This window comes from Homo sapiens, chromosome 20, assembly GCF_000001405.40.
Source record: "Homo sapiens chromosome 20, GRCh38.p14 Primary Assembly".
Taxonomy (NCBI): domain Eukaryota; kingdom Metazoa; phylum Chordata; class Mammalia; order Primates; family Hominidae; genus Homo; species Homo sapiens.
The window spans coordinates 12,891,840-12,918,673 of NC_000020.11; the positions used below are offsets into that span (position 1 = coordinate 12,891,840).

The 26,834-nt window shown below is 40.3% G+C and overlaps 1 long non-coding RNA gene across 1 annotated transcript in view; it reads right to left on the reverse strand.

Moving 5' to 3' along the window:
* Positions 1-26,834, reverse strand: part of LINC01722 (long intergenic non-protein coding RNA 1722) — an 87,316-nt gene that overhangs the window by 26,636 nt on the left and 33,846 nt on the right. Inside the window, exons 7-10 of the long non-coding RNA NR_109868.1 lie at positions 15,156-15,277; positions 10,469-10,581; positions 2,508-2,662; positions 802-1,587 (exon numbers count right to left, since the gene is read on the reverse strand). This is a non-coding gene — a long non-coding RNA (long intergenic non-protein coding RNA 1722). The remainder of the gene's footprint in view (positions 1-801; positions 1,588-2,507; positions 2,663-10,468; positions 10,582-15,155; positions 15,278-26,834) is intronic.

Sequence of the window (26,834 nt, forward strand, 5' to 3'; positions counted from 1 at the left end):
CCCTGACAGGGAAGGGTGATAAGCCCAGAATACCACAGTGCTCCATACAGATATAAGATAGAAAGCCTCACTTTGGTTTTCCTAATGTTTGTTCCCCACACAGTCTAGAGGCTGACTCTGGGGAGCAACGGAGCTCACCCCTTGCATTGGGAGAAGAAACATTTGTTAATGGAAAGAAATGCAATACAGCCATCTAATGGATCCCAGATATCATAGGCCTACCTACTGCTTCCCTGCGAACATCTGAAGTAAATCACAACATAAAGGGCTGTTGTGTTTGTTTCACCTGGGTAGTTTCAATTTGAGCAAAGATGGGCACCCTCAAGGGTGGGGAGCAGCAGGTGCATGAGTTCTGTCACTGGATGTGGTTAATGGCTTGCAGCAGGTGCTTTTCACCTTTTGGGGGATAAATATTGAGCCCATCCCCAGCTTAAACAGCCAAGGAGATGAGATGTAATTCTGTTCCAAGAAATGAGTAGAAACTAAGGCCAATTTTTGCCCACCTACAAGGGGAAAGACTGTGATGGTCATTTCTTCTGCACATACTTATATAAATCAACCAGAAATTCCAGTCTCAATGTTCCTTTTGCTCATGTCAAACCATTTTCTCCTTGTGAACACAAAGTAAGCATAGCAAAGGCCTCCAGGGTCAAGCTCCCTTCCCACAAAATTATGGTCTGACCCTGGCAAGTGACCTGAGCTTCCTCAAGTTCTCCTGACTTGAGACATTTGTCCACATTCCAGTCAACTGAAGAAGTAATTTGATCTCATTCACTCTTCCAACAATCAACAATTGCTCACCTGCCAGGTGTCAGGAACTCTGCTGAGCTCTGGGGACAAAGATGTAAATAAGAAAACCATGGTCCCTTCCTTCCCAGAGCTTGTACAGGAGGAGACAAGACCGACAGAGACTAAACAGCTCCGGTGTGGTAGGAGTTAGGAAGCTGAACTGCACAGGTGCCTTCTGAGCCTCCTGAGCCACCTTAAGGACTCACACATTAACCCTAAGGCAGAGGGGAGTCATTTAAGAAGCAGCAGTCTGCGGCCACCGGCTGAGGCTGCAGTATTTTTTCCAAGAACCGCTGTGTATCAAAATGACGCTGCAGCTTCCACAGCCCTCAGGGAGCTTCATCCCGCTCTGCAGGGTTTCAAGCTGGAGAGCCTTCAGATGCACTTAAATTTTTACAAATGCCGTAAGTGGTGAAGTTGAGGGTGGATGCATTCTCTCTGGCCACACCCCACAGAGATTGGAAACAGCCTTTAGGGGTCTCAGGAGCGTCTGACTGAGGGGGGTAGTGGTCCCAGAGACCGCACACAGGCCCCTCTTACACTCTCACACCTCTCAAAGACTGAGAAGAAAAAAACCACCCTCACATTGTGATGCAGCGTCTTCCTTGCCAGGCCAGGTGTTTCTTGAAAAATCACCAGAGGGATTCTTGGTTAACACCCAGGCTCTACACTCAGCCCGCTGTGTGGCTTTGGGAAAATGACTTAAATCTTCATCTCCTTTTCAGTTTTCCATTAAATGAGTAAAGCAAACTTGAAAGTCTGGGGCCTCTCTGACATTCATGAACTATCATGGGAACTCTGGTAATACAAAATAAAATAAAATAAAAGTGAACTTCGCTTGGAAAATGTGGCTGGAAAGATATCTTATAGTTTCAATCAGTTATTCCTCAGAAGGCTTGTCTATGTAATAGCTTAGGACCAGGACCACACAAAAACAGTAACAGTGGTGTGTTTTTTTGGGGGGTGGAGGGAGGTCAGAGAGTTAGGGTTTGTCCCTTGCCTAGAATGTTATATTTAGAAGAAACTATTATTAGCCAAAATTTGGTATTTGGAATTATATTTATAAACCAACACACACAGTTCGGGCATGTTTCATTTAGCTCCCTAAGTATGAACAGGATTGCCCGGGTCAGATATGGAAAGTGATTTATGGTAATGTGTGCAGAGAACGAGGAGGCAGGCGGTATTGGAGCCTCAGAGGGGCTTAGGAGCTTGACACCAAACCAGTGGAATTGATTAAGGGAGATTTCATTTCCTCTGACTGTGTGGGAACTCTATCAGAGAGGGCATTTGGGGAAATGATTCTTATAATTTGTTCCCAGAGTAACCCGGAATAACAGTTTTGCCTTGCAGCTGAAACAGCCCTTCAGGGAAAGGCCCATCATGCCAAGGCAGTGTCAGAATTTTCCTCCAAGCCGGCTCTGCTCATACCTCAGGCTGGGAGCGAGGTCTACACCAAAGTGTGGGATGGGTCAGGGGCTCGGACTCCTTGGCCCCCACTTCCCACCCTCAGCACTCTGCATATCAGCAACATGGGAAAAGCACCAGAGGTGATTCATTACATCTGCCAAGAGTTGATCCAGAATAAAGGACCATACCCTCACTTCTGTTTAAAGGCTCCAGGCCAGCCTCGCCTCTGGGTTTATGCACAGGGTTTTACTCTGATGTCAGAGGACCTGAATGTGAGTACACGCACGTGTGCATGCGCGCATACATACTCTCCATTAGCATCTGAATTCTCCTCTTCCCTTTCTTCTTCTACCAAATATTAGGCAGCTTCTGTTACATTCTGGACACTTGATCTCGTAGTCAAGGTATCAGTTTGGAGATGGTGTTTGAAATGGGTGTAAACCAGCTCTCAGTGGGAAGTGACCTGGATAAGGAGAAGAGGGTGTGAGTATTTGAAGTTCTCTCAGTTGAGGGGGAATCAATGGGAACCTTGTGAAATCATTAGCGGAAATCCCAAAGGCACTCAGGACTGGGTCACTAATCATTTCATATCTGGGATCAAAGATTCAAAGTCTTTTATTTTTCTTCATCTGCCTTTGTTTTTAAACCAAGTAGAGAGAATAGGGAGGACAACTTACTCTATGACAAAAGAAGAAAATGTTTTTCTGTAAAAGAAATGTGTTATTTCTTGAATGGTCAGCAAGATTATACACAGTGGCCTCCTCCTGTCCAGGGGAAAAGCCAGCCAGCCTCAGGCCTTACCACGTGTAGAAGGAGGAACAGCAGTCCTTCAAAGATGACCACATCCTAATCCCTGGAACCTGTGACTATGTTGCTTTACACAGGTAGAGACTTTGAAGATGTGGTAAAGTCAAGCATCTTGAGAACAGAAGATTCCTCTGGGTTATCTGGGTGGACCCAATATCATCACAAGAGTATTCATAAGGAGGCAAGAGGGGTAAGAGTCAGAAGAGGAGAAGGCTGTGTCATGATGGAAGAAGAGGTGTACAGAGCCAGAGGGAGGAGATGCTAAGAGGCCATGAGCCAAGGAATCTAGGTGACTTCTAGAAGCTGGAAAAGGCAAGGCAATAGATTCTCCCCTAGAGCCTCTAGGTGGAATTCAGCCCTTCAGCATTTTGATTTTAGACTTCTGACCTACAGACTGTAAATGAAATTTTTGTCTTAAGCCACTGCATTTGTGATAATTAGAACATTAATAGGAAAATGATAGAAACTGATAAGAAACTAAGATACTATGTTACTATAAGACCATTTGGCTTCCAGCTACCAGCCTCTGCTTTGCTTTCTGAGACCACTCGTGCCTGTGGCATGCCAGAAGTGCTTGTAGAGTGACTGTCACCACCTCCTCCCAAGGGCTATCAAACAATGACTGATGGGAGCTGGTGAATACAAATCCCAGCTCCCTTGCCCTTGGGTGGAATAACTTTGCAGTGTGGGTTCTACACAAGCTCTCCAAGTTCCCCAATGGGATTAAGCTCCAGGTGCCCAGTGGCAGCGGGGTTGGTTAGCCTGGTTACCAGCTGCCTTCTCTTCCCTGTCTCAGTTTCCCAGTGCCCTCCAGGTGCCTCCTGGGATCATCTTCCAAATATACTACTTGTGCTTGAATCCTTGTCTCATGGTCTTCTTCTCAGGGAACTCTAAGTTGGAATATGACCAGAGCCCTGCTCTCCTTAGCTGGAATCACTCACTTGAGTCAAATGACTCAAGCAAGAACCACCAGACAGCCATAGCATGGAACATAAAACCCAAATAGACAGACAAGTGGCCTTAAACAAAAGAGTGCTCAGTCCTGTGGCAGCCTCCTGACCAAGCTGCTCCCACCTGGTTTCTCTCAGTCTCCACCTGTCTTACGTTCTGTGAGCTTCCCAATGAACCACGTTCTCTTAAGTTACCCAAAGTTAATTCCTGTAACCAACTTTGTGATCAAAAAACCTTATCAGACAGAGAATTATGGAAGGAGTGAAGGGAGAAGGTACACTTTTGGAAAAACAGAATGGGAACTGTGCCCCAAGAGTAGAAGACACATAATCAGACTTAATACCGAGCAGACTGGAATAAACATCGGCTTTCAGTGTTTCTCAAATGGAAGACTCCAAGGCATCCATTCTGCCCTTTCTCTGCCAGTGTCAGCCCCTCCCTCAGGAAGGACAATATCTAGGTGAGGCCACATGATTTTTCTATGAGGATTGACTGAACATGGGATTTTGGTCATTTAAATCTTGGGTGAATTATTTAACGAGCAGAAATGCAGGTGCCCAGGAGATCTTCCCTTTCTATTACGCAATGAGTGGAGGTGATGGGAACCCCTTTTTCTGTTGTTTTGGGTAGACCCATGATAGACTGAGCTCATGATATGTAGGGCTTGATCCTTGGTATCAGAAAAAAATAATAGGGGAGAGAAGCACAGCTGTTATCATCAAGAAACCTGTACAAGACTCATTCATTAGTTTATGGACAACAATGAAATATGTTGAAATAATGCAAATGACACTTAGATTCTAGAGACCTGATTTCTAGTTCAGCTAGTAACAGTAAACTTTGGCAAGCAACTTCACCTCTCTGTAGTCTCCATTTTCTTCAATTGTCAAGTGATTGGACAATGTGATTACTCCATGGCCTTATGACTATAGAAGAACATCATATTGGGGTGATCCAGTGCCAGCAAACCTATCACGGCCAACTGTTATGGTCATGAAATTAAGTAAGCGTATTTCCTCCAATGGCCTGCATGGTTGCTTCCTCATCATACCCAGCCTCCAGTAACCTGGGAGTTTAAAACTAGGAATCTAATTATTTTCTTTCAACATGAAATAGAGGCCGAAGAAATGGAGGTACAGCTCTAAGCTTAATTTCAATTCCAAATAACATAGACCAGTGTTGTAGGTGAATGTATCAGCTTTGAAAGAGAAAAAAAGTTTAAAAAATCTTATTCTTCATTAGGTATAGAATGAAAACATTTCTATTCCCTCCAGAAAGCAAGGGCATTTGGCTTCTAAAGCTGCTTTAAAAGAAATATGTTCATTTTGGAGAGACATAAGCTAACTACTTTCCATAAAATTGCTACTTCTTAGGACTGTAGCTAAAACCTGTAATCTGCTGAACCAATTCATTTAGCAAACATTTTGAGCACTTGCTATACCCCAGACACAGTCAAGTAGTGGAATACAAAGCTATATAATATTTAAAGTTCTTTCCTTATCTTGGGAGTATACGTTCTAAGATCCCCAATGGATGCCAGAAACCGTGAATAATATTGGACCCTAAAGATCATATAATTTTTTCCTACACATACATACCTATAATAAACTTTAATTCATAAATTAGGCAGAGCAAGAGATTAACAACAATAACTAATAATAAAATAAAACAATTGTAACAATATACTGTAATAAAAGTTACGTGAATGTGGTCTCCACGATCTCTTTCAAAATATCTTATTGTACTGTACTGCACATAACTAAAATCATAGAAAATAAAACCATGAAGAAGGAGGTACTAGTGTAATCTCTTTTATCTGAAAACTCACATCTATTTATTTAGTGCACAACTACATTCTGGGAACTTATTATGTCCTAGAAACAAATAAAACATAATGAACAAGGCACAGTCTCTGCCTTCAGGTGGCTCCCATGCCAGTGGCCAAAAGGGTCAAGAATAATGGGCTATTCTTATACTTTAGAGAGACAGATGTATACGCACAAGATTCTGGTCTAAATTCCTGCATAATTTTACTTTTATTTTCATTTAAATTTCACCAAAATGAAGAACATTGATATCAATTTCTCCTTCCCAAATGACAGTACTTCTTGTGTTCAAATTCCATTTAAGTCCCAGCAAGGTTCAAAAAATTACTTTGTGATCTGTGTAATTTTAGATTGATGGAGCAATATTTGTATGTGATTTGTTAACTCCTCATCTCCCATTTACTAGCTGTGCAACATCAAGCAAGTTGCCTCACTTCTCTGTGCTTCCTTTTTACACCTATTTCACATTGAGGTGAGGAGTTGCTACAGCAACTAAATGAGTTAATTTATGCAAAGCACTTAAAACAGAGCCTGCTGGATATATCCCAAGTTTACAACAAAAGTTAAATATTATTTTTGAATGTTTGAATTTCAGACATTCAACCAAAATGGGCAGTAAACTAATTTCTAAGGACTACATGTCTATTGACTATGAAACTTTCTGTATTAGTTATCCATTGCTACGTAACAAGCCACCCCAAAACTCTGTGGCTTAAAACAATAATCACGGATTACTTCATGATTTCTGTGAGACAGAAATTTAGGAGCAGCTTAGCTGGGCAGTTCTGCCTCAGGGTCTCTCACGACATCGCAGTCAGGTGGTGACTGAGACTGGGGTCATCTCAAACAGGTGTGGGCTGGAACAACTCGCCCTGTCTCCATGCAGTCCCCCCACAAGGCCTGACAAGCATGGGAGTTGCAGGTAGCCAGACTTCTCACACAGTGGTTCAGAGCTCCCAAGTCTCATGGACAGAGAAAGAGAGAGAGAGAAAGTAAGAGCTATATCACTTTTGAGAATCAAACCACAGAAGTCACATAGCATCACTTCCACCATAATCTGTGGTGGTAACAAGCCCTCCCCCGATCCCTACCCAGATTCAAGAGGAGGGAATGTAGTTCCACCTTTCAGTGGGAGGAGTGGTTGTCACATTATGAGAAGAGCATGTAAGACGGGAGAGAGATGATAGGTAGATAGGTAATAGATCGATAGAGAGAGAGAGAGAGAGATGGATGATAGAACTTTGTTAGCTTTATTGATGTATAATTGAGAAATAAAAAATATACACTTAAAATATACAACTTGATGTTTTGAAAAGTGGACACATTGTGAAATGATAACCACATCATATTTATCACCTCATATAGTTAACATATTCTTTTCTTTTTCTCCTTTTTGTGGTGAAAACACTTAAGACTTACAGTCTTTGCAAATTTCAAGTATACAATACAGTATTGCTATGGTCACCACGCTATACATTTGATCTTCAGAACATATTCATCTTGAATAACTGAAATGCTGTACCCTTTGACCAACATCATCCCATTTACCTCTCCCTCCCAGCCCCTGACAACCATTAGTCTATTCTCTACTTCTATAAATTTGACTATTTTAGATTCCACATATAAATGAGGTCATGTGGTATTTGTCTTTCTGGGCCTGGCTTACTTTACCTGGCATAATGTCCTCCAGTTTCACCCATGTTTTTGCAAATAGCACAATTTCCTTCTTCATAAAGCTGAATAATATTTCCTTGTGTATGTATACATATGCAACATTTTATTTATAAATTCATCCATCAATAGACACTTAGGCTGATTCCTTTGCTTAGCTATTGTGAATAATCCTGCAATGACATGGGAGTATAGATGTCGCTTTGACATACTGATTTCCTTTCCTATGGATGTATACCCAGAAGTGGGATTGCTGGACCTTATGGCAGTTTGTCTCTAATTTTTTAAGAAATCTCCACATTGTTTTCCATAATGGCTGTAGCAGTTGACATTCCCACCAATAGTGTACAAGGGTTGCCTTTTCTGCACATCTTCACCAACACCTGTTATCTTATAGCTTTTTGATAATAGTCATCCTAACAGGTATGAAGTGGCATCTCATTGTGGTTCTGATTTGCATTTTCCTGATGATTTGTGATATTGAGCACTTTTTTTATATTGCTGTTGACCATTAGTATAGCTTCTTTTGAGAAATGTCTGCTCACATTCTTGGTCCTTTTTTTTTTGAAATGATGTCTTGCTCTGTCACCCAGGCTGGAGTGCAGTGGCATGATCTTGGCTCATTATAACCTCCGCCTCCTGGGTTCAAGCAATTCTCCTACCTCAGCCTCCTGTGTAGCTGGGATTACAGGCGCCTGCCACCATGCCCAGCTAATTTTTGTATTTTAGTAGAGACGGGTTTTCACCATGTTGGCCAGGCTGCTCTCGAACTGCAGACCTCAGGTGATCCACCTGCCTGAGCCTCCCAAAGTGCAGGGATTACAGGAGTGAGCCACCGCGCCTAGCCTCTTGAACCATTTTTTTAAATTAGGTTTTTTGTTTTTAGACAGACATCAACTCCGACGATGAAAAATTAACAGGAGATCTATGAAACTCGGTACCAAGCTGTCCTCCACAACCTACCAAAGCCAGAGGGTGGAAGAAGGGACAAATGTCAGCTGCAGCAGGTGTCCTGGTGAAGCCCCTGATACCTGGGCATGGGGCACCTTCATCTGCACTGCCCTGAGGAACTGTGAGCTGTTGGAGATGCCAGCAAGCTTGGCTGTGTGCTGTGGTGAACATGAATGTGTACCGGACCCTGAGCAAGGCAGGCATGGCCCTGATTTCACAGTACTAGGGAATCAGTCTGTGACAATGGTCACTGTTTCCTTCTGGGTGAGTCTTAATACATCTAATGGCCAAAATGCAGGTGCCAGGAGCAAGAGAGCTTTGTTTTGTTTGCTGATGAATACCCTGATGGGCCTAGATAAGTTACTGGCCCATAATGTGCCCTCAATAAATATTTGTTGAATGAATGTATACTTCAAAGTCCCAATATAAACCATTGATCCTTACAAGGGGCTTCCCTGTTCTCCTCCCTACGTGTGAAGAAAGAAGGATCTACTTCCACAGCTTGCAATAATGATAAAAGTCATTTAAAGACTTCTTTAAAAATAACTCATTTGAAAAAAAGAAATCAAGACTCAATTGGCATCTTGTCCCTCAGAGCAGAGCAATCAAGCTAGGGCTGCCCTCTGTGGCTGCAGAGGGACTCCCTTCAATCCAGAGCCACCAGAGCAATGGAAAAGAAACAGGATAATTGAATGCCTGGCCCAGGCTTCATTGCAGTGTTTGGTCTCTGTCGAGCCACCGAGGAGAACTCTGAAGGCCAATTTGCAGGTTGATGCTTGGGGTCAGGTGTGGGGCTTTTCTGCCAGGAACGAAACTCAGCGATAATTTGGGGCCTGACTCAGGACCTGATTCTGATCCTATCTTGCTTCTCTTCCTCCTAAGAAGTCTGCCCTGTGCAGGGGACCTGAGGAGAATAGCTGCTAATGAGCCCAGTGCCATTTTGGGGGCTTTGCGTTCTTTATTGCAAGGTCACCCAGTGGTACTCTATATTCTAGAGCCCAGCCACAGCACCGTGAAAAAGAGCCAGAGAAGAAGCCCATTGGTTGTTGCAGGGCGAACCGCGAGAGTGCCAAGCATCCAAATACGGAAGAGGAATAAAATGAATCCTGCCATTGGTGGCACATATAGCCAGGCCTGCTGTTGTCAGGTTAAAGTCAGGCCATGTGCCATATAATGTCAACCAAACATTTCCAGCACCTGGTTGACCTCACATTCATAGCCACGCACACGAAAACACATCTACACACAGAGAGGGGAACACCGTGCTCACTCAAAGCTGAGATGTTTGTGTCAGCCCTGAGCAAGTGAGCTGAGGGTAGCTATAATCAGACCACTGGGACTTATCTCAGCAGTTTTCAAGGCAATGCCTTGACCTTTTTAAAAGATTTTTTTTCTTTTTTTTTTTTTTAAATAGAGACAAGGTCTCTGTATGTTACCAAGTTTGGTCTCAAACTCTTGGGCTCAAATGCTCCTCCTGCCTCGGCCTCCCAAAGTCCTGAGTTTACAAGTGTGGGTCACCACACCTGGCCTGCCTTCACCTTTTAAAAAAAAGCAGAAGACATTTTGCTACATGCAAATAAATAAATAAAAGCAGAGTAAGAACTGGGAAACCAGCCTGACATCCTAAGCCATGTGAAAATTATATTTTCACACCGTGAATTCAAGTCTTTCAGAGAAGTAGAACATTACAGAAAGATCTCTACAACTCATATGATACCTCCTCAGCCTTAATAAAGTACCTAAGGAATGTACTACAGGGTGCTGATTTCTTCTTAGTTTATTGCAAAAACTCCCCATCCAAATTATTTGAGGAGAATGAACTTTTTTAGTGTTTGTCTTAAAGGACAAGATCACTTGAGGGAAATCCGAAATGTCAGATTTGTTCAAGCAATATATACTTGAGGCTGGGCACAGTGGCTCACACCCGTAATCCCAACATTTTGGGGGGCCAAGGTGGGCCGATCGCTTGAGCCCAGTCATTCAAGCCCAGCCTGGGCAACGACATAGTAAGACCCTGACTCTACAAAATAATACAAAAATTAGCTGGGTGTGGTAGTACGCACCTGTAGTCCCAGCTACTTGGGAGGCTGAGGTGAGAGGATCACTTGAGTCCAGAAGGAAGAAGTTGAGCCTAGATCATGCCACTGCACTCCAGCCTGGGTGACAGAGTGAGACCCTGTCTCAGAAAAAAAAAGATATAGATATATATACTTGATTTGGGCACATTTTTGAATTTAGGGATGAATATAGATATTTTGGATGCTAAGAATTCATACCTTAGAGAAGAAAAAGAAAGAAACTAACTGAAACCCAATGGTGAAAGGGCAGCCTACCCTGCTTCCTCCACCTTTCAATGACTAGGAACAAATCTCTTTCTCTTTCTTTCTCAAAAAAACAAAAAAAAAACAAAAACAAACAAACAAAAAAAAAACTTATGGAGTCAGGAGTACAAGGGCAATTTTACTACATGGATACCTTGCATAGTGGTAAAGTCTGAGCTTTTAGTGTACCCATTACCCAAATAATGTACATTGTATTGTGCTCAACAGGTAATTTCTCATCCCTCATCTCTCTCCCACCCTCCCACATTTTCAAGTCTCCAGTGTCTATCATTCCACTCTCTACATCCATATGTATATGTTATTTAGCTCCCACTTATAAGTGAGAACATGTGATATTTGATTTTCTGTTTCTGAGTTATTTCAGAAAAATAGGGCCTCAAATTTCATCTATGTTGCTGGAAAAGAGACGTGATTTCATCCTTTTTTATGGCCACATAGTATGTCATGGTGTATAGGTACCACATTCTCTTTACCTAATCATCCATTGATGGACATTTGATTCCATGATTTTTGCTATTGTAAACAGTGCTGTGATAATCATGAGTGCAGGTGTCTTTATATAAAGCTTTCTTTTCCTTTGGGTCGATGCCCAGTATTGAGATTGCTGGATCCAATGGCAAGTCTATTTTTAGCTCTTTGCAAATCTCTTTCTCTTAACACTTTCATACCTCAGTGGCTTCCAAACTCTGTGAATAGTGGAATCCCTTTTTCAAATGAAAGTTTACATAGAGCCCCAAATACAAAGAAGTTCAAGGAGAGTGGCCGTGGGAAGCAGATGAGGACTTACGAGTCTGCATGTATCCCAGCTCCTTTCTGCTGTCACCCCCAAAACCCCTCATACATGTCCTGGATACTCCATGGAACATAGTTTTAGTGTCTCTGCACAAATATACAAAAGTAATCTCGGTGGAGGGAAAAAACATTTTTTAAGTTAGTTTTACACTTTTTTTTCAAACTTATTTTTAAAAAATAGCAATGTGTCTTTCCCAAATTTAGTATCCATTAGGAAAGAAAGAGTCTAAATTTTAAGTGTATATGTGAATTTCACAGGGAGTCAGACTTAATATTCTCAAAACCAACATCTCTGGGGAAAGCATAAGCCATGGTAAGAGGTATATTTGAGGATCCATAGATAGTTCATGATAGATAGTGATAATCATTCTTTCTATTTTGGACACTACGTTGTGTTAACCTTTATCCATGAGGTAAACGGGTGGATGGAAAAATCTATAGAGTCATTTAAGTTTGAAAAAGGAAAGAAACTTCAAGTTGCAGCTTCCCTATTTAGTATTAGTAGACATGATAGGTAATTTTTTGAGTGTCAACTTGACTGAGTCATGGGATACCCAGATAACAGGTTAAGAATTATTTTCCACTGTGTCTGTGAAGTTATTTCCAGAAGAGACTGGCATTCAAATTGGTGGGCTGAGTAAAGCAGATTGCCCTCTCCAGTGTGGGTAGGCTTTATCTATTCCATTAAGGGCCTGAATGGAACAAAAAGGCAGAGGAAGATTGAACTCACTCTCTCTCGGCCTGATTGCTTGAGATGGGACTTGGTCTTTCCCTGCCCTTAGCTCTCTGGTTCCCGGGCCTTCGGAATGGAACTGGAACCTACATCATTGGCTCTCTGGTTCTCAGGTCTATGAATGACCATCAGCTTTCCTGAGCCTCCAGCTATCAGACAGCAGATGTGAAACTTTCCAGCTCCATAATTGCATAAGTCAATATCATATATATATATATATAGTCATGTGCCACTTAATGACGTTTTGGTCAATGACAAACCGCATTTACAACAGTGGTCCCATAAGATTATAATGGAACTGAAAAATTTCTATCATCTAATAACATCAGAGCTATTCTAACATCATAGCATAATGCATTACTCGTTTGTGATGATGCTGATGTAAACAAACATACTGAGCTGCCAGTCATACAAAAATCTAGCACATGCAATTATTTACAGTACATAATACTTGATTGTGATGATAAATGACTGTTATTAGTTTAGGTATTTATTAAACTATACTTGTACTGTTATTTTAGAGTGTACTCCTTCTATTTATTATTTAAAAAGTTAACTATAAAACACCCTCAGGCATGTCCTTCAGGAGTTTCCAGAAGAAGGCATTATCATCATAAGAAATGACAACTCCGTGAGTATTATTGCCCCTGAAGACCTTCCAGCAGGACAAAATGAGGAGGTAAAAGACAGTGATATTGGTGATTCTGATCCTGTGTACGCCTAGGTTAATGTACAGATGTGTGTCGTTTTAACAAAGAGTCTAATAAATAAATAATTAATTAATCAATTAAAGCTCACTTTGGGAGGCCGAGATGGGTGGATCACTTGAGGTCAGGAGTTCAAGACCAGCCTCGTCAACATGGTGAAAGTCTGTCTCCACTAAAAATACAAAATTAGCTGGGCGTGGTGGTGCACGCCTGTAGTCCCAGTTACTCAGAAGCCTGAAGCATGAGAATCATTTGAACCCAGGAGGCAGAAGTTACAGTGAGCCAAGATTGCACCACTGCACTCCAGCCTGGGTGACAGAGCAAGACTCTGTCTCAGAAAAAATAAATAAATAAGTAAATAAATAAAGTTTATTGAATAAGGATATAAAGAAGATATTTGTGTATAGTTGTACAATATCTTTGTGTTTTAAGCTAATGTTACAAAATACTCAAAAAGTTAAAAAAATTAAAAGTTTGAAAAGTAAAAAGTTACAGTAAGTTAAAGTTAATTTATTATTGAATAAAAATTTAACATATTTAATGTGTCCTAAAGTTTATAGCATATAGTAATGTCTTCGGATTTCTCATACACTCACCACTTATTCACTGACTTATCCAGAGCAACTTATAGTCCTGCAAGCTCCGTTCATGGTAAGTGCCCTACACAGGTGCACCATTTTTTTTTTTTTTTTTTTTTGAGACAGAGTTTAACTCTTGTTGCCCAGGCTGGAGTGCAATGGCACAATCTTGGCTCACCACAACCTCTACCTCCCAGGTTCAAGCGATTCTCCTGCCTCAGCCTCCCTAGTAGCTGAGATTACAGGCATGCACATGCACCACCACGCCTGGCTAATTTTGTATTTTCAGTAGAGACAGGGTTTCTCCATGTTGATCAGGCTGGTCTCGAGCTCCTGACCTCAGGTGATCTGCCTGCCTCGGCCTCCCAAAGCGCTGGGATTATAGGCGTGAGCCACTGCGCCCGGCCAGGTGCATCATTTTTTATCTTTTGTAGTATATCTTTTTATCTTTTCCTGAACTCTCTCGATGATTAGATATGTTTAGATATACACACACTTAGCATTGTGTTACAATTGCCTACAGTATTCAGTACAGTAACAGGACGTACAGGTTTGTATCCCAGGAGCAACAGACTATGCCATATAGCCTAAGTGTGTAGTAGGCTGCACCATGTAGGTTTGTGTAAGGGCACTCTATGGTGTTCACACAACAACAAAACTGCCTAATGATGCCTTTATCAGAATGTAGCAACATCATTAAATGACACATGACTGTATAGGCATCCTATTTGTTCTGTTTCCCTACAGAACCCTAATACAGTAGATAAAACAAAGAAGGTCAGGAAAATTGGGGGATGAGTCAAAGTACAGGAACTAGTTAGAGATACTAGAGGAGACTGATCAAATCAGACCACAAAGTTATCAGTTAAGACCCCTTCTGACTACGAGCCCCCAGATGTGGAGATGGAGTCTTAAATCCCCAGGAATCAGTGCAGGGCGGCTGCATTTCTTGAAAGATCAGTATTCCTAACTTGATTCATGCAGAACTCACATAAGATTAACTCTGACACAGTGCAGCTGTTGTGTTTTGTTTTCTCTCTCAAAGGGGTGCACGGTGTGGCAATCACTTTGTTCATATTTTTGAATTTCTTGTGAGTAAAATGAATTCAGGGCACTTCATTAACTTTCTTAGCAGAAGAAGTCAATATGGTTACCTGTAAGTAATTAGTCAACCTGGAGAACAGTTCACGGCTGATTGACCAGCAAGTGAAAGATTTAACATAATGGGCAAAAAGAGTACTAGGGCAGCAGTCCTGGGGGCCTGGGCTCAGATTTCACCTCTGTCACTCACTCTGTGTCTCAGTACAGATCCCAACCATATACCTCCACTGCTCTGAGCTTCAGTTTCCTCACCTACAAAATTCAAGGCTGGGAGAATAATATTTATGTCATGAGCTTATAAGGGTTTTTTGAGAAATAAATTTAAAATATATATAAAACTGGCCCGGCGCAGTGGCTCATGCCTGTAATCCCAGCACTCTGGGAGGCCGAGGCACGCGGATTACGAGGTCAGGAGTTCGAGACCAGCCTGGCCAACATGATGAAACCCCGTGTCCACCAAAAAGTTTAAAAAATTAGCTGGGTAGGGAGGCGCGCACCTGTAGTCCCAGCTATCCGCGAGGCTGAGACAGGAGAATCGGTTGAACGTGGGAGGCAGAGGTTGCAGTGAGCCGAGATCGTGCCATTGCACTCCAGCCTGGGCGACAGGGTGAGACTCCATCTCAAAAAAAATAAAATAAAATAAAATAAACAAACAACAACAAAAAATATATATATATGTAAAACTTTCTTACATAGAGCCTAGAACATACTAGGAGCTCAATAAATTATACCCATCATAACTAATTAAAAATAAAGAGTATTTTTCCCCCATTAACCAGTAGTGGGAATAAATGACAACTAAGAGTGAAGAAGAGATAAGACCAAGAAAGACCAAGTAAAATGAAGCAGCAAGCTAAGATCCTTTAAAGCAGGGCCCTCCTTGTCAAAAAGATGCCTCCCACATGACTTCATGGCTGTAGTGGGCATGTGCCATGTATGTGACTACCCAGCTTGTTTGACGTGGCCTTTCTATTTTTTGGATAATTTCTCCTCTTTTAAGTCTGCCACCCTTAGGTAGGAGCTATAATCATTTATTTGCTTGTAATTATGGCATGGACATGTGACCTCAACCCCATTCCATCACACATTCCCAACTTGGACTTGGAAGAGAAAGCAGTTGCCATGGGGAACCCATTCTCTGCTGAGGGTGAATAATTGTGGCAGAGAGAATGCCTGCTTCAGAGGAAACAGTAGCTGAGATAGCACCCCACAGAGAGTAAAACCTGTAGGGTTGGTGCCTGATGGTGGCAGAACTTTGGTCTCTCTTAGGGCAGCCATTGGTGTCATTTGGCCATCATTCCGGACTGCATAGGCTCCATGTCTAATTCTCTTACATTCTATAATGCTACAAGCTATTTAGTATCTTGGCATAAGTGTATTTTATTATTTAACTGGTAGAGTGGATTCTGCTATTTGAAACCAAGAATGCCGCCAACTACTTGCACTCAAGACCACCATTGCATCGCAGCCCAGAAAGGAGTGCTCAGTAAATATTTGGCCAGTCAATGAGAGTTCATAAAAATGAATTACTGAAAACAAAGAAAGAGTTTAATAGGTTCAGAAAACTGGGACTTAAAAGTTATGATACATTATAAAAAGTTTTCCATTTTGGAAAATGGTTAATGCAAAAATTTAGGAGAGGTCATGAAAGACTTTGTGCTTTCCGTTTTACATGCATTATGTCTTCAAATCAACTTCAGTTATCTAGAACTTGATGACTCAAGTACCACCAACTTGTTGCTTTTAGTCACAACACAGGCACCAGGTGCTATTGTCATAGACAGGAGGGGACTAGCAACCATCTGTAGTCTATACTCTAACCCAGAAGATAAAGATGTAAACAGTGTGAGGGTGGGAAAGAATTTTCTCATTGCCTATAAGCATATCAGAATGAAATAATTAATTTATTTCTGTCCCTTAATCATTATGGTTTAAAAATAACCAGTCATTAATGTCTTCATTATTTTTATTCAACAAATATTTATTTATTCTAGGACTACCAAGTACCTGATACTATGCTAGAAATAATTAGAAATAATTAACAGTTAATAATATATCACCTGCTACTGGTTTGATTAAATTCAACTCAGAGTGTTCTCTCTGAAATTGCTTAACGGAAATCCAACTTGGGTGTTAACTAAAGTCTTCTAGCTCCTTAAGGCTTTGGTGAGATTGACTCAAATCTCTGTGCATGTTCTGGAAAGTTACAAATCCTCACCCAACCAAAAAGAATTGTAAATTCTATTTCCCTCTGGCTTCTACTTTCAACCTTGTGTGAATTATACACTTTCCATTACATATTTTGGAACTTTTTTTTAACCAAAAGTGAAACTCATAGTTTTCCCCTGACTGCCACCTCCGCTACCAAAGAATCACATTTACATAAGACCTTTATATGTATAGCGATTTGGGGAGAGAGGGATGTTTATATTACAGCAATGCAAATAACTTTGAAATGAATATTTGCCATTTGAGCTTCAAAATCCTTCTATTCTCTTGCAATAAGGCTCAGCCAGCCCATCACCTCTATTTCTCTTTCCCTTCTTTTTGTCCCTGTGTCCTCTAATTCTCATATATTTCTATATAGCAAAATAGCTAAGATATCAGGCTTTGGAACCAGGCCTCTGGGGTATGGATTCCAGCTCTATCCATTACAATTCGTGTGCCCTTGGGCAAGGTACTTTAGACCTGTGGGCCACACTTTCCGTGTCTGTGAAATAGGAACCACCCTAGTTCACAAGTGATTTGTAAAGTGAGTTAACATATATAATGTTTTTTAAAGTGAGTTAATACACATATGTAGCCCCTAGCACGTATGAGTGCATGCAAGCATTAGGACTTTCATTATTGTTAATATGGAGGGTTCAATTATCTTCTTTATTGGTGCTATCACATGGACTAACCCATCTCACATTCTGGCCTGAAAAATGTTTGTAAATAATTTTTCTTCCCTAAGAGGAATTTTCTTTCCATTTGCTAAGGTACTATCTGTTACTGGCCTGTGTGTAAGGGCTCAATTAGTAGTCCACCCAAGTACTTGGTTTCGAAAGCAGATGGCCTGAGTTGAAGCCTGGTACCACTCCTTACGACCTCCCTCTTGCCCCTTAAGCAACTTATCACTCCTGATGCTTCAGTTTCTTCATCTATAAAAAGGGGAATGATAATATCACCTATTCCAAAGTATTGTTTTGAAGATTAAATAAGTTAATACTTTGAGAAAGTAAACATTAGCTTGGACTGAGAAAGTAAAAATGTCTGGCCATTCATCAGGCTTGGATAACAGACAAAAGATGAAAACAGCTGCAAAGTTAACAGCTAATGATATTTCTTGCAAGGACACACCACTCTTGTAAAGTGTCATAAAACCCTCTTCGTTGGGTGACATCTGCTTTCTTATTTAGTGAGAAACTTTGTTCTTCAAAGTCATAGACTATCAGAAATGTGATGTTGAAATCACATCAGTATGCATGAAACATCTCTCTCTTGGATTGCTTGGTTGCTTGGTTTGGGCTTCAGTTTTTTTAAACACACATTTATTATCCCACAGTTTCTGTAGGTCAGAAGTCTGGGTGGGCTCCCTTGGCTCTTCTGCTAAGGGTCTCATAATGGTAAAATCAGAGTATTGGCCAGGCTGCATTCTTTTCTGGAGGCTCTGGGGAAGAATGTTTCCAAGATCATTCAGGTTGTTGCCCAAATTCAGTTCCTTGCAGTTGTAGGACTAGGGTCCCATTTCCTTGCTGGCCGTGTGAGCCTACTGGTCTCTGTTCTTGGAGGTTTCCCATAAAAACATCCCCCTCTTACCTGGAAGATTTCAGCTATTTTAACATTAAAAAAAAAAAAAAAAAAAGCAGCCCAGAGTTAACAACTCATGTGCAAACCTTCAAATAAGAGGTTTCTGGCTGCAATATTTTACATCTACCTTAACTTTGGTATTTCAAAGTAATTAACAGGACCTTAACAGGACCAACCCTGGGTCTACTTTGTGTCCAGATATAATGTTGATCCATTAAATATGGCACTGCTTTGCTTTGAGCCCATCAGAATACTACTTTAGTTTAATCTTGCCTAAAACTCCACCTTTCTCCAAAATCCTGTAATAACTGCATTGGTTCCTTTATTTGGTAAGATGCCCCACACTTCCTCTGATGTGTGCTCTCCCTCATTGCAATGAATCAGCAACCCAACTTAGTGGGACTAGGAGCTTGTCCCTGGTGGTCTTAGACTGATTGAGCTGGAAGAACTTAAATTGCTTTGAACAGAGACTGCCAAGTGGCAATACTCAATTTAATCTTCTCTATAACAACAAATACAATGATAATAACTATTACTAGTAGTATAAACTCTGTGGGTAAATACAAATAAAAGGACAATGATGCTGTGCCAAGGATGGAAGCTGCAGATAAGGCAGTTGGAGAAAACAAACAAACCACCATGTACTGTGTCTACAGAAATCCCTCAAACTGCAAAGATTTTCCCAAGGCAAATTTCCACTTCAGAAACCTCACTCGGTGTCATGTGACAATACCCTCGGTGCTGGTGGAAGAGGTTCGCTCCTTTGAAATGCTTTTTCAACATGCAACGTGGTTTTATGTTAACACTTCTGGACTATGAGCTGGAACAGTGAAGCCACAGTAAGACTTTAAAATGGATTTAAAAATCGGCCCCAAGATTAAGTAGAAAGATAAATTAATCTTAGAACTGTCTCTCACCCTTTCTTACTGAAAATGTGATTTTAAAAATATTTTTAGTAATAATTATTGATAATCCTAGCATAATGTAAAAGGGCCTGGGCTTTGGGGGATATTTTAAAAACATGCCAGAGGTTGCTCAGAGCATCCTCCCTCCCCATCTTTCTGGCCCATTTAGGTCGTATCTCTCTCATTTGGACAGTTAATCTTCAGTGTTTTCCAAACACTCAGTTTACAAAGATTGGGTCAATGTCTCGCAACGTTTGGAATCTTAATAGACTCTTAATAAATATCTGTTTGAAAAAATGAGTGGACTCTGATATGTGCTTCAAATGGTATACCACCCCCTAGAAATGTAAGTATGAGAGAAAATGCTGACCTGGAAATTATAAAAGGCAACCAGAGAGTAGTGTAAAAGTCGTTCAGACATAAGTAGATAAGACTTGCCCTAGGGCCACAGAACAACAAAACGTTTCTTATTGTTTGTCTGGTTTTTGTTTTGTTTTGTTTTGTTTTTGCTGTTGTTGTTTGTTAACTCAGTGTAGACAGAGCAATTCAGCTCACTTTAATTGGCTAAGTCGATCACTCTGTTAGTTTTCAGGTCAACTATCCTGCCTTCCTTAACTTTATGGGTATCTACCAGTAAATGCTTGATGGATGAATTTCCACAGTGTGTTCGGTTTGCTTTCAACCAAGCTCTATTCAGACTTATATGTATGTACACTTCTAATATTCAATTTTTAATTTTCTTAAGCTAACAAATAACTATTATTCACAGCAAATACTTAAGCAAATATCTGATTCACCAGTATGCTATTTAGTCTTTTCTGTTGCTGTTTGATCATTTATTTAAGGGGGAAACATTTAGGATATAACAAAATATACAAAGAACAGTACAGTGAACACCCAACTTAAGTAATAAAACAACAATCCGATTGAAATCTCCATCTCTGATTACAGACCCATCTATCCCAAGAGGTATCAATAATATTTAATTTGGGGATTATTGTTTCCATATATTTTTCTAAAACATTTGTAATTATCCATTTAAAAGTATATACAGTTTGTTTGCTTATTTTAGTCTAACTGGTATAATAATTTATTTCCTCCCCCAAAAAATGTTTAATCAATAATATCGTTTTGAGGTTTATCCCTCATGATATGTGTAACTCCTATACAGTATTCTATTATATGACGTTATCTGAATATACCAACAGTTTATTCCCTCTTAAATGAGTAAGTTGTTTTCTTTTTCCTTTTTCCTTTATTTATTTATTTATTTTTTGCTATTGTAAACAGTAATGTTACGAGAATTCTCATTCAGGCCTTCCAGGGGCTATGTGCAAGTTTTCTATGGTACACAGTTAAAAAGGGTAATAAAGATACTATTACAGTTACTACAACAACTACTACTAGTGATAACAAGGCTAACTTTTATTAGCCTATTTGTTTTAAAGTTATTAACTCATTTAATCCTAAGATTTCTATGAAGTAGATACAATTATTAACTCCAATTTACCAATAAGGAAAACATTTTGGGGAATTATTAGTTGTAGAATGAACATTCTCTTTTTTTTTTTTTTTTTTCTTTTTTGAAACAGAGTTTTGCTCTTGTTGCCTAGGCTGAAGTGCAATGGTGGAATCTCGACTCACTGCAACCTCCGCCTCCTGGGTTCAAGCGATTCTCCTGTCTCAGCCTCCCGAGTAGCTGGGATTGAATGAACATTTTCTGTCTTACAGAAATATTACCAAATTGTTTTCCTGGCTTCTTACAAAAATGTATATTCCCATCAGGAATATATACAACTTCCTGTTGCTCTACATTCTCACAAAAACTTAGTATTGGCAGACTTAAAATTTGTCTTCAAATGTGTACGTAGAGATAGATGTAAAGAGATATAGTCACTGAGTGTTTGAAACACAGATCAAGAAAGACTAAAGAGGTAGACTGAGATTGACATAGGAACAAATCAAAAGGAAGGCAAGCCTATGGAAGGAAACTGGAATATTTCACCCCCAAATATACTTTTTTAGCATATTTCAAGATGGATACTCAGAAGGGCTGCAAACCACAGAAATATCTTGAAATGCTGTCTTTTTGGGGCGGAGTTTTGCATCTGGAAAGGGAATCTGCACTAACGAAGTGAACAGCAGATACAAACAGGTTTTCCCTGAGGCCCTCCTTGTCTCCTTGTCCCAACCTAGGAATGATTAGCTCACAGAAAAAAAGAGACTAAAAGTCTGAAACATTTAAGGGTCTGCCAGAGAAACTTCTACCACAGGCTCCCATCTATTCTTTCTGAGGGCAGCTCTGAGATTTGTCATCTCCATAGCAAAGCAGCCATGGCTTCCTCCCTTACTCTCATCCCACCTCCCTCCCAAGAAACAATAAGTCTCTACTCTTGCTGTAACCTTCCAATGTAACCTCCAAACTCAGCCATCTGGCTTTTCTTTGAATCTCATACTTCGTGTCTGGCCCCTGTGTCAATATGCACTTTAATATATTTGTGTTCCACTTTTTCCTATTAATCTGTCTATTGTTAATCTGTCAGTTTGTTTTGTAGACTCAATTTGTCAAGCCTGAAGAAAGAGAAGGAAAAAAATTTCTCCTCACCCCTACATTATTTCAGGAATTAGGAAAGGTGGGCAAAGTAGTCAAGAGTTAAAAACTCAACAAAAACACCTCATCTGAAGCTTGACACTTAATTGATAGTCTTAAACATGCCTGTCCAAGCAATAGAGTCATACACATGCTAATTCTTCATTTCCCCAGCACTCATTCAGCTGTCAAAGACTACAGGGGGATATCTGAATTAAAGATCAGAGAATAGAAAATTCCTTTATCTCTAACTCTCAATTCTTCCCTACTTTTAACATTATGACTTTTCAATAGATGCTGTGTCCCTAAGCACCTCTACTCTCTCCTTTTTGTTATGAATAATTCAAATAGCACAGAGCAAATCAATAACACTCTTTTAAACCTAAAGTTATCACTTTTTCAGCAGCATTCATTCATTTTCTTTTGTTTCCTCTAGGAGAAAGAAATGTTTGTTATGTATGCTTGATCGATGGGCAAACATTCCCAAACTATGAACACAAAGAGATTAAAGGCCTTAGTACAAATCGGACTACACCCCCTGCAAAAAAAAGTATATAACTTACTAGGCCATTAGAGACACTCATTTTCACTAGTTCATTAGCATTAACCCTCTAAGACCAAAGGAACCTTAAGGTAGCACCAACTGGAAAATCTCCAGAGTGTGGGAAGTAGGCTTCTCACTGTAGCTACTATAGATTCCTTCCTCATCAAAGTGCCTTCTGTATTCAGCAGATTGTAGAGAAAGGTATGAAAACATGCTGGACCTGATCAAAGGGTAAGACTTGTTTTACTAAAAAATAAATTCAGGCCATGAAATGTTAAGATAGGCTCTAACAACAAAATAAACTATGTTTTACTCATGCATCCTATGTTTTTGTGGCAAACTCCTTTACACACTGAAAGACTTGAAGATACTCTCACCTCCGTAAAACACTATGCCTTAATTCTCAAGGAGAGAATTTTAGAGCTCTGGAAATTCCGGGTTCCTACTAGAGTTGATTTAAAAATTGTTACTGTCTATGAACCACCTCCTCTGATCTTGCAACCCCAGAAAAAAGCATTGCAATAGCAACAACAACAGCAACAGAATCTCCCTTCTTTCATTTCTCAGTCCCATTCCATTTTGTTATCGCCTGAATTTCTAAAATACCAGCCAGGATCACCAGTGGAAAATACAAAGAATATTCAACATCTCTTTCTGGCACTCCAATTTCAAAGACAAGCCCTCGTTCGGTGTCACTGTTACTGATAAAACCACTTCAGCTCAGGGATGGAAGAATGCCTTGTTACTTCCTCTTCCTGAAGCAAAGTAAACATGTTTCATGGCAGATCGTTGGTAGTTGAAAAGATTTGCAAGCTACTTAATGATTACAAACCAGCTTTTATTCTTTCATAAGGTGGGCAGAATCTTCCACTGTAATTTTCAAACAAAAAACGAATACTAGTAATTTTAAAAGAAATTTCTCTCCATTTGATTCTTGATCAAACCATGATGTAACTATTCTCCATTAGAAAATTGATTCTGAATCCTTTTAAATTACCCCATGACTTATTCACAGCTATAATTGTGATTCCAAGAATACTCAACAACTTCTAAAGAATATTCCAATTAGTAGTAGTTGAATTTTTTCTCAGAAGACAATGTCTTTTAAAATAATTTAGTGTGAGGTTAAGATATCAGGAGGTATGTTGTTATGCAAAATGTGTTTATCCTGAGACAGATGTCTAGAGGAGCCATCTAGAGCTTGTCTTGGTTTTTGTTTTTGTTTTGTTTTGTTTTGAGATGGAGTCTCACTCTTGTCGCCCAGGCTGGAGTGCAATGGCGTGATCTCGGCTCACTGCAACCTCCACCTCCTGGGTTCAAACTATTCTCCTGCCTCAGCCTCCTAAGTAGCTGAGCTTACAGGCATGCACCACCATGCTGGGCTAATTTTTGTACTTTTTTAGTAGAAACAGGGTTTCACCATGTTGGCCAGGTTCATCTCGAACTCCTGACCTCAAGTGAACCACCCAGCCTTGGCCTCCCCAAGTGCTGGGATTACAGGCGTGAGCCACTGCGCCTGGCCTTGTCTTGTTTTTAAAGAGTTTGTGACGGGTGGGAGAGGTCCAGAGAAAGACCAAGGTTTGGGGGGTGGGAAGGAATGCAGAGTGACAAAAGAAAGGGAGAGGAAGCAAGGAGGAGAAAGAACAATGGAGAGAACGGAAAATAAAGTAGACTGCATTTCATCACAGCTCCTCCTGATTAATGAATATGATAAGAAACTGATAATTGTCCTTAAGGAAGCATACAATTTTCATTTCTTTAGCACATTTGAGATCTATTTCTTTGGAACTACACTAAACTCCAGAATATCAGTATAGATACATCAGTATCAGGAAAAGCTGCTGCACCCAAAAATGCTAACTAAATAATGATTTAATTTTAGAAAAAGAACTAGCTATACACACACACACACACACACACACACACACACACACACACATCTACCAAAATAAACTAAGACCTCTCTTGATCCTCAACTCTCTTCTGTGTGGTCCATTGGCTGTAGGACATAATCGTTGTAAGAACAAGCTGCTGGATTTCAGGTACAACTGTTAAATGAGATAATACATCCACAATTATCAGGAGCTGACAATGGGAAATTGATATTATTGGCCATTGGTGGATTACTCCAGAAACAGACCTGAGATAAGAATTTAAAAGGGGTATTTAGCTTATTGGGGCAATAAAGGAAACACCAGGAAGAGGAGTGGGGAAGAAGGACAGGGAGAACATCATCAATAAAGAATGTCTTGTCAAACCGGCTGTCACAGAGCATGCCTGGGGAAAGTCTGGGGACAAGTACAAAACACAGTCCTCAGAATTAGATTATCTAAGGAGGGATGGAGCTAGGGAATGCATACACTAAGTTCTATAAGTCATTGGTTGAGGGCTGCTTGGATGAGGGGAGGAGGTGCATTATATCCCAGTCATCTCCAATTGGCAAAAGAGGCTTCAATGGCTACAGAAAGCCTCAGGCAAAGCAATTCAGATACTGGCAGGGGAATGTGGGCCCTGGGCCCTGTGAACTGTGGCTGCAAGGGCAAAAGGGTACAGGAGCATGACACCATCTGCTGACTACTCATGCAGGAACTCAACACTGCTGAGTATAAGGAAAGAATTACCCCACATTCCACAGAGCACCTGACTGAAACATTGTGCGGGTCATCTCTTTCAAAGGCAGGCTATTAAGCCCCAGGAGTTGGAGGACAATTGAATTTGATGTGACCAACTCAGCTTGCTTTCCACTCTCTAGCAAGATGCCCAAAGAGAACATGATGAAGCTCCACTCAAGTTACAGAGTTTGGACGTGCTTTGTCTTTTCATTTCTCAAGATGGATCTAAAGTCATGAAAATGTGTCCTTTGTTCTATAATCCTCATCTCGCAGAATCCTCACATCACACTATGTGAGCAAACATCCAATTATAGGATACAGAATTTGGCTGGCCTTTCCCACTGGTTCCTGGGAGGAAACCTCTAAACCCTTGGAATTTCTTGAGTAATAGGTACGTCTGTGTTATTCATGAGGGGTGTACTGGACCACACTGAGTTTGCACTAAAGAGGTGATTCATGGAAGACCCTCAATATCGTTTCAGGATGGGGTATCATGCTGCAAAAACCAACCACATTATTAGAAGGCTGGGGTTTTGAGCCACGTGATATCAGTCCAATTTCTTTAGAGAGAATTGGAGCTGAAGATTGAGTGCAACTATGTAGACAATGATTCAATCAAATATGCCTACATAATGAGACCCTAATAAAAGAAATCTGGACACCCGAGGCTCAAATGAGCTTCCCTGGTTGGTAATTATACATTGATGTGTTAGCGGAGGACAATGAGTCCTGAGGACTTGTAAGTTTCCCACTTGGGACCCTACCAGACATCACTCTGTGCATCTCTTCATTTGACTATTACTCATTTGTTTCCTTTATAATAAAACTATGATAGTAAGCATAGTGATGTTCTTGGTTCTTAGTTCTAGCAAATTATCAGAAATGGCTCAGGAACTCCCAAGCTTGCAGCTGGTGTCTGAAGTGAATTTAGTCTTGTATAGAACTTTGTTCTTCACTTGAAAATTTGACCTAACTTCAGACAGTTACAGTCAGAATTACACTGCGTAGCCCAAAATGTTATGCAATTCTTTTAAGATCTTTTGAGTGCTAAAGGGAGCAGAAGTTAACACAGGTCTTCCTTGTTCAAATCACAAGTGCTTTTCACTTCACCTGGCTGAATTTTGGGCTATTTCAGGAAAGGTTCAGGCTAGGTTCAGGGAAAACTCCAATAAAAGCGGCTTAAGATGTCCAAGAATATGATGAAGTACGTAATGTTTCCAAAAAAAATAAACAAAATTTGTTTCAACAAATAATTATCTATAAAGACAGCATGCAGATACAATTATGCCTGAATCTGTTCTTAAGCTCCTGTAGCCTAAAAGTTAATCTAGAGAACTTTGCTGATACTTCTCTAAAATTAAATATTGAGCCAGCTTGAGTTTTTCCTTATAGCATCACTACCATTATGCTTTGACATTTTCACAGATTCACTGATTTTTGTTTCACTTTCTTTAGCAAAAGAGCATGAAGTACATCCTCTTGCTCACATTAATCTCAAATGTGCAGAACAATAATATGTTTTTATTTATCTATAATTGAATTCATGTTTCTCACAACTACCTGCCTTCTGGGGGTGTGTGTCGTGTGTGTGTGTGTGTGTGTAGCATTTTATTTTGTAGGGGAGAGTATAGATGATTTGTATAGATTTTTTAAGTCATCTTTTTGAAGTATATATATACAGAAATATGTACAAATCATATGTGTCTAGCTGGGTGATTTTTCCCAAAGTAAAC